Source organism: Homo sapiens, chromosome 16, assembly GCF_000001405.40.
Source record: "Homo sapiens chromosome 16, GRCh38.p14 Primary Assembly".
NCBI lineage: Eukaryota > Metazoa > Chordata > Mammalia > Primates > Hominidae > Homo > Homo sapiens.
In genome coordinates, this window is record NC_000016.10 from 48282033 (window position 1) to 48294280 (window position 12248).

General features: G+C 40.0%; 1 protein-coding gene across 7 annotated transcripts in view, besides 1 other annotated feature; it reads left to right on the forward strand.

Moving 5' to 3' along the window:
• Nucleotides 1-12248, forward strand: part of LONP2 (lon peptidase 2, peroxisomal) — a 118704-nt gene that overhangs the window by 37733 nt on the left and 68723 nt on the right. The window lies entirely within an intron of this gene.
• Nucleotides 1230-1756: an enhancer, noted in NCBI's record as "NANOG hESC enhancer chr16:48317173-48317699 (GRCh37/hg19 assembly coordinates)". NCBI's record gives its function as "activates a minimal SCP1, AML or CMV promoter by ChIP-STARR-seq in primed H9 embryonic stem cells {active_cell/tissue: H9 hESC(primed)}" and the evidence as "EXISTENCE:reporter gene assay evidence [ECO:0000049][PMID:30033119]".

Below are 12248 nucleotides of genomic sequence, written 5' to 3' on the forward strand. Positions count from 1 at the left end.
AAATGCCTTAAATAAGGCATACCTTGTTTTATTGTGTTGTGCTTCATTGTACTTCACAGACTGTGTTTTTTTAACAAATTAAATGTTTATGGCAGGCCAGGCACAGTGGCTCACGCCTGTAATCCTAGCACTTTGGGAGGCCGAGGCGGGTGGATTGCCTGAGCTCAGGAGTTCAAGACCAGCCTGGCTAACGTGGCGAAACCCTGTCTCTACTAAAAACCCACAAAAATTAGCTGGGCATGGTCGTGCATGCCTGTAATCCCAGCCACTCAGGAGGCTGAGGCATGAGAATAGCTTGAACCCGGGAGGCAGAGGTTGCGGTGAGCTGAGATCGCACCATTGCACTCCAGCCTGGGTGACAGAGCAAGACTCTGTCTCAAAAAAAAAAAAAAAAAAAGAAAGAAAGTGTTTATGGCAACCCCGTGTCAAGCAAGTCTGTTGACACCATTTTTCCAACATCTTACTTCATGTCTGTATGTCACATTTTGGTAGTTATTGCAATATTTTTAACTTTTTCATTATTATATCTATTATGATGATCTGTTATCAGTGATCTTTGGTATTGCTATTGTGATTGTTTTGGGGCACCACAAACTGCACCCATATAAGACAGCAAACTTAATCAATAAATGTTGAGTATGTACTAACTGCTCAACTGGCCAGGCATTCCCCTTTCTCTCTCCCTCTCCTCTGGCTCCTATTCCCTGAGACACAGCAATATTGAAATTAGGCCAAGTAATAACCCTGCAGTGGCTTCTAAGTGTTGAAGTGAAAGGAAGAGTCACACATCTCATTGTAAATCGAAAGCTAAAAATAATTAAGCTTAGTGAGGAAGGCATGTTGAAAGCTAGGCCTCTTGTGCCAGATAGCCAAGTTGTGAGTTCAGAGGAAAAATTCTCAAAGGAAATTAGAAATGCTATTCCAGTGAACACACCAATGATAAGAAAGTGAAATGGCCTTATTGCTGATATGAAGAAAGTTTTAGTGGTCTGGATAAAAGATTAAGCCAACTACAACATTCCCTTAAGCCGAAACCTAGTCCAGAGCAAGGCCCTAAGGCTCTTCAGTTCTATGAAAGCTGAGAGAGGTGAGAAAGCTGCAGAAGAAAAATTTGAAGCTAACAGAAGTTGGTTCATGAGATTTAAGGCAAGAAGCCATTTCTACAACATAAAGTGCAAAGGGAAGCAGCAAGTACTGATGTATTGTAGAAGCTGCATCATGTTATCTATCCAGAACATCTAGCTAACATCATTGATAAAGGTGGCTACACTAAAAAACAGATTTTCTATGTAGATGAAACAGCCTTATTTTGTATTGGAAGAAGTGTCATTTAGGACTTTCATGGCTAGAGAAGTCAGTACCTGGCTTCAAAGCTTCAAAGGGCAGGCTAACTCTTGTTAGGGGCTAATGCAGCTGGTGACTTTAAGATGAAGCCAGTGCTCATTGACCATTCTGAAAACCCTAAGGCCCTTAAGAATGATGCAAAATCTACTCTGCCTTTGTTCTGTAAATGGAACAACAAAGCCTAGGTGACAATGCATCTGTTTATAGCATGGTTTTACTAAGTACTTTAAGCCCACTGTTGAAACTTACCGTTCAAAAAAAATAGATTCTTTTGAAAATATTACTGCTCGTTGTCAATGCTTCTGGTCACCCAAGAGCTGTGATGGAGATGTACAAGGAGATTAATACTGTTTTCATTCCTTATAAAACAACATCCATTCTGCAGCCCATGGATCAAGGAGTTATTTTAACTTTCAAGTCTTATTATTTAAGAAACACATTTTTTAAGGCTATTGCTCCCATAGATTATGATTCGTCCCATGCATCAGGGCGAAGTACATTGAAAACCCCTAGAAAAGATTCACCATTCTAGATGCCATTAAGAACATTCATGATTCACGGGAGGAGGTCAAAATATCAACATGAACAGGAGTTCAGGAAGAGTTGATTCCAGCCCTCATGGATGACTTTGAGGGGTTCAGACTTCAGTGGAGGAAGTTACCGCAGTTGTGGTAGAAATAGCAAGAGAACTAGAATTAGAACCCAAAGATGTGACTGAAATACTGCAATCTCATGGTAAAACTTGAACAGATGAGGAGTTGCTTCTTACAGATGAGCAAAGAAAGCGGGTTTCTTGAAATGGAATCTAGTCCTGGTGAGGATGCTATGAACCTTGTTGAAATGACAACCTTGATGTTGTGAACCTTGTTGAAATTCTAAACAAGATTTAGAATATTACATAAACATAGTTGATAAAGGCAGCAACAGGGTTTGAAAGGATTGACTTCAATTTTGAAAGAAATTCTACGGTGGGCAAAATGCTATCGAATAGCAATGCAGGCTATAAGAAATTGTTTCATGAAAGGAAGAGTCAATAGATGAAGCAAATTTTACTGTTGCCTTATTTTAAGAAATCGCCACAGCCACCCTAACTTTCAGCAGCCACCACCTGATCAGTCATCAACCATTAATATTGAGACAAGACACTCCACCAGCAAAATGACAACAACTAACACTGAAGACTCAGGTGATTAGCATTTTATAGCAAGAAAGTATTTGTTAATTAAGGCATGTACATTGTTTTTTAGACATAATGCTATTGCACACTTAATAGACTATAGTATATTGTGTAAACATAACTTTTATATGCACTGGGAAACAAAAAAAAACATACATGTGACTCACTCTGTTGCAAAATTTGCTTTATTGCAGTGGTCTGGAACTGAACCCACAGTGTCTCTGAGGTATACCTGTATTGAGGAGGGGTTGCAAATTTTAGCACATAGGCAAATTTGCAAATATGGAATAATAAGGATCAACTGTAATTACTGCTTTATGCCATTATCTTTTAAATCAGATAAGAAAAAGTTACGTCAACAATATATTTACACTGCCTTTTATGTTTGCAATGTAATCACTTCTGCCAGTGCGCTCTATTTCTTTGTGTGGATACTGTCTAGTGTCCTTAAACTTCAGTCTTTCATATTTCTTGTCTCATCTCCTGGTGACATATTCTCAGTTTTTGTTTTTCTGGGAATGTCTTAATTTCTCCTTCATTTTTGAAGTAATTTTGTTGGTATAGAATTTGGGTTGACAATTGTTTGCTTTCAGCCCTTTCGCATGTCCTCTCACCACTTTCTGGTCTCTGTGGTTTCTGCTGTGAAGCCAGCTGTTAAGCTTGTGGCGGATCTCTTATGCCTAATGAGGGCAGCATTTTTCTCTCATAGTTTTCAGTATTCTCTCTTTGTCTTTCATTTCTGACAGATTGACTGTGTTTATGTGTGATCCTCTGAGTTTACTTAGTTCTTTTTGAGCTTCTTGGATGTGTAGGTAAATGTTTTTCATCAAATTTGAGAAGTATGTGGCCAGTATTTCTTCAAATATTCTTTATGCCCCTTTCTTTTTCCTCTCCTTCTGAAACTCGTATTATGGTGTGTTGGTAATCTTTGTGGAGTCCCGTAGGTCTCTAAAGTGCTGTTCACTTTTTTTAAAGCCTTTTTTCTTTCTATTCTTCAGACAGGATCATCTCAGTTGACCTGTCTTCAAGTTCATTGATTCTTTCTTCTGCCAGCTGAAATTGTCATTCAGCCCCTCTAGTGAATTTTTCATTCAAATTACTGTAGTTTTCAACTCCAAAATTTCTATTTTAAAATTTTTATTATTTATCTTTGTTTATATTCTCTATTTGTCAAGACATCATTCTCATACTTTCCTGTAATTCTTTAGACATGATTTCCTTTAGTTTTTTTAAATGTTAGTAAATATAACAGAAAAAGTCCCATTTTTACCACTTTTATGTGTACAGTTCAGTAATGTTAAGCACATTCGCATTGTTGTGCAGCCAATCTCCAGAACTTTTTCATCTTGTTAAAGTGAAGGTGTATACTCATTACACAGCAATTCCCTGTTTCTTTCTCCCTCCCTCAGTCCCTGGCAGCTACCATTCTCTTTTCTGTTTCTATGAGTGACTACTCTATATACCTCATATAAGTGCATCATACGGTACTTATCTTTTTATAATTGACTGACTTCACTTAGTTTCCTCAAAGTTCATCAATGTTGGGGCATTAGTTTTTTAAGCATATTTATAGTAGCTGATTTGTAATCTTTTTTTTTTTTTTTTTGAGACGGAGTCTCACCATGTTGCCCAGGCTGGAGTGCAGTGGCGGGATCTTGGCTCACTGCAAGCTCCGCCTCCCAGGTTCACACCATTCTCCCGCCTCAGCCTCCCAAGTAGCTGGGACTACAGGTGCCTGCCACCAGGTCTGGCTAATTTTTTGTATTTTTAGTAGAGATGGGGTTTCACCATGTTAGCCAGGATGGTCTCGATCTCCTGACCTTGTGATCTGCCCGCCTTGGCCTCCCAAAGTGCTGAGATTACAGTCGTGAGCCACCGTGCCTGGCCGCTGATTTGTAATCTTTATCTAATAAATCCAACATGTCTTCCTTAGGGATGGTTTCCATTGACTTCTCTTTTTCTTTTTTGAGACAGGGTCTCGCTCTGTCACCCAGACTGGAGTGCAGTGGCGCACTCATGGCTCATGGCAGCCTTGACCTTACCCAGGCTCAAGTGACCCACCCACCTCAGCCTCCCGAGTAGCTGGGACTACAGGCACACACCAGCATGCCTGGCCAATTTTTTGTAGAGACAGGGTTTCGCCATGTTGCCCAGGCTGGTCTCGAACTCCTGAGCTCAAGCAATTTGCTCACCTTGGCCTCCCAGAGTACTGGGATTACAGGCATGAGCCACTGAACCCAGCTGACTTCTCTTTTTTTTTTTTACTCTTTAGGGCCGTACTTTTGTATTTCTTTGTGTGTGTCTCATAATTTTTTTTGTTGAAACTGAATATTTAGAGTGTTATATTTATATTAAATACAGTCAGATATATAATTGAATAATATAACCTTAAGGGTTTTTTGTTTGTGCTGTTGTTGTTGCTGTTTGTTTAGTGACTTTCTGGTTTCATTCTGTAAAGTCTGTTTTATTCATTAATGTGTGACCACTGAAGTTGCTCAGTTTGTTTAGTGGTCAGCTAGTGACCGGACAGAGATTTCCTTAAGTACCTGGACAGTAGCTCTCCCACTCCTTGCCCAAGGGGCTCTTATGTGTGTATTGAAGTGGGCCTTTCACACTTTGGCAGATGGTTTACAACTCTGCCTTAGCCTTCACTTCCTGCTTTTGCAGAGCCTCAGTGTCTGCCAAAGATGAGCTTATAGGGCCTTCTCAGGTCTTTCCTGGATATACTTAGAGCCTGCACATTCACATGAAATTTTGGATTCTCAGGCATATGTCAAGGCTTTTCAAAGTCCCCATGAATATCTCATTTCCCAGTTTTTCCATTTAAGTTTTTTGGTCAGCCTCTTGTTAGTCCCAACTAGTTTCATTGCCTCAGGCAGCTGCAGTGCTAAAACAGTTGCCACTGGTTGTTTTTGGCAAATGTCCTAAGGATAAAACTGTTCTCACAGAGTGTTCTCTGAGTTAAGTCAAATAAGGATATGGAGCTCTTCTAAGGAACTGCCAGAGTCAAACAGGGACAGTTCTCTGGGGATGGGGCTTTTGAAGGATTGTAATCCTTTTCTACCCCCTAACAGGATTGCTAGGCTACTGGTTTTCACAGCTACTGGGGTTATGAGGCTGTTGATTTTGCTACCATGAACTTGAGAGAAAGGGATGAGTGTAAAGCAAGTTAAAATATCACAAAGCTCGTTCTGTTTATTGAGATTCAGCTGTTTTTCTTGAATAAGCACTCCTCAAATTGTTGCAAGTTAGTATGTAGCATTCTGAAAAAGTTGATTTTGACAATTTTTGCTAGTGCTCTCATTGCTTTTCTGGAGGAGCAGATTTTCAGAGTTTCTTACTCTACCATTATATAATAGAAGTGCTTCCTCCCCCATTTCATTTTGATTCTGTGCTTGAATGATTTCACTGCATGCTTCTGATACTTGTATTTTGGTTTATCACTTGTTCAGATGAAATATATCTTCAGGTTACTTCATTCAAAGATTTGTGTGTGAGTTGTATTTTGAATCTCTTCTATATTTGAGAAGGCTTCTTTGTTGTCTGCACCAGTAGTAATATATATGTAAATAAAATAAGAATGTATTAGTCTTCTTCTTTTTTTTTTTTTTTTTTTTTGAGACGGAGTCTTGCCCTGTCACCCAGGCTGGAGTGCAATAGTGCAATCTTGGCTCACTGCAACCTCTGCCTCCCAGGTTCAAGCGATTCTCCTGCCTCAGTCTCCTGAGTAGCTGAGATTACAGGCACGTGCCACCACGCCTGACTAATTTTTTGTATCTTTAGTAGAGATGGGCTTTCACCATGTTGGTTAGGCTGGTCTCGAACTCCTGACCTCGTGATCCATCCGCCTCGGCCTCCCAAAGTGCTGGTATTACAGGCATGAGCCACCGCGCCCAGTCAGAATGTATTAGAATGTATTTCTTAAGACTGCCATAACAAAATACCACAGACTGGGTAGCTTTGAAGACCAAACAGAAATTTATTTCCTTATGGTTTTGGAGGCTAGAATTCCAAGACCAAGGTGTTTATAGGTTTGATTTCTCCTAAGGCCTCTCTCCTTGGCTTACAGACAACCGACTTGTGGCTGTGTCCTCGGGAGACCTGTGTGCATGCATCCCTGGGGTCTCCTCTTTCCTCTTATAAGGGTACCAATTGTATTAGACTAGGGGCCCACTCTTACCTTCATTTAACCTTAATTACCTTCTTAAACACCCTGTCTCCAAATACAGTCTTCACCCTGACTGCCCTTGAGACAGAGCGGAGGGGGTTAGGGATTCTGTCAATTTTGAGGGGGCACAATTCAGTCCATAACAAAGGACATATATAATAGATACATAATATATATGTACCAGTGTGCCCATATCATGTACTTTATGTAAAACGAAATCAGTTTTAAAAGGTAATTATATTTTCAATGAAAGCACTGTGTTCTAATTAGATAATTGTTTTTACTTCATAATATGTCTATCCTAGCTTATTATATAAATAAAAGTGTCAACTCTGTTATTTTCTTGTGGTTCATACCTTTGCCTATACCCTTTTTAATGATACTTTGCAGGAATCTTTTTAAACCACTCAACCCATTTGTAATATTAGGCTCTGTGAACCCGGAAAATTTGAGACAGGTCTCAGTTAATTTAGGAAGTATATTTGGCCAAGGTTGAGGACGCGCGCCCATGACACAGCCTCAGGAGGTCCTGACGACACGTGCCCAAGGTGGTCAGAGCACAGCTTGATTTTATACATTTTAGGGAAGCATGAGACGTCAATCAGCATATGTAAGGTGAACATTGGTTTGGTCTGGAAAGGCAGGACAGCTCTCTGGAGAGGGCTTCCAGGTCACAGGTAGATAAGAGACAAACCCTTGTGTTCTTTTGAGTTTCTGATTAGCCTTTCCAAAGGGGGCAATCAGGTTTACCTCAGTGAGCAGAGGGGTGACTTTGAATAGAATGGGAGGCAGGTTTGCCCTAAGCGTTCCCAGCTTGATTTTTCCCTCTAGTCTGGTGATTTTGGGGGCCAAATATATTTTCTTTTCACAGCACACATGGACAGCAATGTGCTGTAATTATAGTTAAGGCAGATAAGTGAGGACACCACAGGCAGCCTTCGACCTTATGGAACTTCTTCTAAGTGAAGACATCAATTCCATTTTGGATATTAAATATTTACAAGCTATTTTTTTCTGGTATTTATAAATAAAAAAGATAAATACAAATACTAATATTTTCTACTTGCACTTTGGTGGGTCATTTTCCACTTTTGTGACCACTGGTCTAAATAGATAAACAAATGTCTTCACAAATGGGTAGTAGGTTCACAGGTGTTCATTTTGTTATTATGCATCATATCTTATATATATTACATATATTTGATGTATTCAAGATTGTAAAATATTTTAAACTAGTGATAATTTTGCTTGAAAATTCTGTAGGTGTTATTCTAATGACATTCTCATTTTTATTGCACAGGAGGAGGAATCTAAATCTTTTCAATCTATAGTGTCAAGGTCTTCTAGAATATTTTCGTTTCTTTAATCCCTATTTTAATTTACTGAGACCTCTTCTTTAGTTATATTAACCAGTTATGAATTGTATCTCTTAATTTTTCCCGTATTTATCCCCTACATGTCTCTAAAGCCCTTTTTCTTCTATGTCCTGAACACTTTTCTCAAGTTTGTCTTTATCACAGATTTAATTTCCATAGTTGAGGATATAGAGGAAAAGTAAACTCAGTTTCTCCTACTGCACTCTCACAACACAGAACACCTCTGACCAAATGCACGGGTTTTTTCTCCATATGCCAAGCAAGCAGTTCTTCAGCAACCGACCACAGCTGGGTGTCCTCTAATTCAATTCTGACAAAGTGTATCAGATCCTACGGGTTGAGCACTGAGTCCCACAAGACTGCCTCCCCCTTCAGATGCCAGTCGTGAGTTGACTTCCAGAACGTGTGACCAACCAGTTATAAATTGGAGTACCCACAAGCCCCCCTCCTCAGGTTTGCTTAATTTGCTAGAGTAGCTCACAGAACTCAGGGAAACAATTTACTTGCATTTACTGGTTTATTAAAAGAATATTTTAAAGAATACAAACAAACAGCACAGGAGCTTCCATCCCAGTGAAGTCAGGGTCCACCAGTCTTCTTGCACCTGGGTGTGCTCAAATTCACCTTCCTGGAAGCTTCCTGACCTCAGTCCTTTCGGGTTTTTAATGGAGGCCTTGTCACATAGGCCTGATTGATTAAATCACTGGCCATTGGTGATCAACTCAACTCTTAGCTCTTCTCCCCTCCCAAGAGATTGGGCTGGGGAACTGACAAGTCCTCAGCCCTCTAATCATGCCTTGGTCTTTCCTGTGACCAGCCCACATCCTGAAGCTGTGGAGGGACTGCCAGCCACCAGTCAATCACTAACATACAAAATGATACTTATCACTTTGGTGATTCCAAGGATTTTAGGAGTTGCATGTCAGGAAACAAAGAGATGAAGGCCAAATATATATTTTACAGTATCATAATAGTATTAATTGTGTGTGGCTTTCAGAGCTGATTTTAGTTATGTTATTTTATCTTTATTTTCTGTTGTGGAAAATTTCAACCATAGCAAAAGCAGAGAAGATAGTATAATGAATTCTGTGGACTCATCACCCAGCTTTAATATCTTGTTTCATCTATTGCTTCCCATTCTCCCCTACCCAACCTCTGATTATTTTGAAGCAGATTCCAGACATCATCTTTTCATAAATGTTTCAGTAGCTATCGACAAAAGATATACACTTTTAAAAAGCATAATCATACTATATCACACCTAAAGATGACAGTTACCTAGTCTTGTGTAATGAACTCTATGTAATCTATTCCTGGATTGCCTACAGACATCTATAGTTCTTCTCTTGTCAGAAATTATTATTGAAGAATAATTCTCAGTGTACATTCCTCCCACGGTTCATCCCATTGTGACTTCACATTCCTAGGAATAATGCGTCATATCACAGCTATTTCCATTCCCAGTCATACTTTGTAGGTAGGAATTATAGTCCTAGGATTGATACAGAAAATCTTTTAGTTGGGGAGAATAAAGGAGAAACAGCCCTAATTATTTTTGAAAGTGGCCCTGGATGTGGGCAGTAGAATCCCTGCTCTGAAGTTAGGGTAAGAAGATGAGGTTTGATAGCTACAAAGCTCTTAATTGTAATTTTCGTCCTTCCATGGACTCACCAGTTTGCCTCGGAGCTTCATCTGAGTAGTGATTACCAGAAATTATTTTCTGCCAGAATATTGATCAGTATTTCTGATGCTGTTTAAATTCTATATGTCTTTTTATGCTTTTGAAAACCAGAAAGTATCTGAGACAGGTCTCAACCAGTTTAGAAGTTTATTTTGGCAACGTTCTCCAGAGATGATTGTGAGGGCTTCAGTATTTAAAGGGGAATGGGCAGATATTGGGGAAAGAGGAAGAAATTTTAAAAGGTATGAGTAGACAAGAGACAAACGGTTGCATTCTTTTGAGTCTTTGATCAGCCATTCACCTGTGAGAGGGGAGCAGAGGAATAGTCACTGACGCATTCATCTAGCTTAGTGAATCTGCATTTCTACATAAGATAAAATAAATATAGCGTACAGGAAGCCATCAGATATGCATTTGTCTCAGGTGAGCAGAGGGATGACTTTGAGTTCTGTCCTTTGTCCTGTATGTGTAAAGAATAAGCTATCAATTTACATGGTTGGGGTGAAATTCAACAGAACTGTTACAGGTTAAAGATCTTGGGGCCCACAAGGAATTTCTCAGTGGGGGGATTGTGAGGGAGATATGTAGCTTTTTTTGTCTTTGTAGCTATCTTATTTGGAAACAAAATGGGAGGCAGGTTTGTGTGACGCAGTTCCCAGCTTGTCTCTTCCCTTTTGCTTAGTGATTTGGGGGTCCTGAGATTTACTTTCCTTTCACACTCTTCCTGAGTAAAAGAGGAAGGCAGGCAAATTGGGCACAAATTTAGCCTAAGTCTGCCTCCTTACATATTAATATTTTAAGTTTGGCCTAAAGGTTTCCCCTTACAAAGTAAACTGCAGCCTAACTAGCTGTGTAAACACACTATTCTTAACACCAATCACAGATTTTCAGCAAGTCACAGGAAGTCAGCTGTTAACAAACTTTAAATAAAGCAAACACCAAGCTGTAAGCAATCCCGCTGTTTCTGTACACTCTTTGTTTTCTGCATGTCGCTTTCCTTTTTCTGTCCATAAATATTATCAAACCATATGCCAGAGTTTCTCTGAACCTATTCTGTTTCTGGGAGCTGCCCAATTTGAGACTTGTTCTTTGCTCAATTAAACTGTTAATTTATCTAGAGTTTTTCTTTTAACAAGCATCACTAATTTTTTCTCCTTATAATCTAGGTATTCTGTCACACTGTTTTAAAAACCTCCTTCATAATTCAGAAACATTGCTTTATTAATTTTCCTACTTTTTAAAAACGCTAGTGTCTTAAAATTTTAAGAGAAAAAAATTACTTGTTCAAGTCTGACAGCCATTTCTAAAACATATCCAGCATATATGAATTACATATGCTTAGAGCCATTAAAGAATAGAATTTTTTCCGGCCAGGCATGGTGGCTCATGCCTGTAATCCCAGCACTTTGGGAGGCCGAGGTGGGCAGATCACGAGGTCAGGAGATCGAGACCATCCTGGCTAACATGGTGAAACCCCATCTCTACTAAAAATACAAAAAAGTAGCCGTGCATGGTGGCGGGCGCCTGTAGTCCCAGCTACTCGGGAGGCTGAGGCAGGAGAATGGCGTGAGCCCGGGAGGCGGAGCTTGCAGTGAGCCGAGATCGCGCCACTGCACTCTAGCCTGGGCGAAAGAACGAGACTGTCTCAAAAAAAAAAAAGAATAGATTTTTTTCCTTAGCTAGTGTTAAAAAATTACTCATGACGCTTATTAAAGGTGGTAAGGATTACTTTATTCAAGGTGGGAGACTACGTATAAGAAACACTGCAATGGGGTTTTGCAGTGACAGGAGGAGAGTGAATGGGGAATCAGTAGAGGGAAACATTCTAAGAGGAAGAATTGGGGTTACGGGGGATTCTCACTAGAAGGACACAACAGAACTCTTGCTGAAGGGAGGCCAGGGTGAAAAGATACTGGGTTAGAAGTGAGAACAGATACGTATGGGTATGGGTCATTTTTGCTAACCTGACTTAGCAGGATTCTTGCTCAAATTGGATTTTACAAAGACAGAGGGAAGGCTGACATTGGCCTAGTTGAGCAGAGGACTCAGAGGAGCCTGACTCAAGTTTGCGTCAAAAGAAGAGCGTTTTTGTCACTAGATGATAGTTTTAACTATTTTCCATACATAAACATTTTCCGTACCTAAACAGTTTGTTTGTTCATTTGTTTGTTAGTTTGTGTTGGATTTTCACTCTGTCGCCCACGCTGGAGTGCAGTGGCGTGATCTCAGCCCACGGCAACTTCTGCCTCCAAAGTTCAAGCAATTCTCATGCCTCAGCCTCCCGAGTAGCTGGAGCTACAGGCATGTGCCACCATACCAGGCTAATTTTTGTATTTTTTTTTAGTAGAGACAGAGTTTCACCATGTTGGCTAGGCTGGTCTCAAACACCTGACCTCAACTGATCTGCCTGCTTCGGCCTCCCAAAGTACTTGGATTACAGGTGTGAGCCACCGTGCCCGGCCTGTGAACAGTTTTTAGATGATTAGTAGATAGTAAGACCAC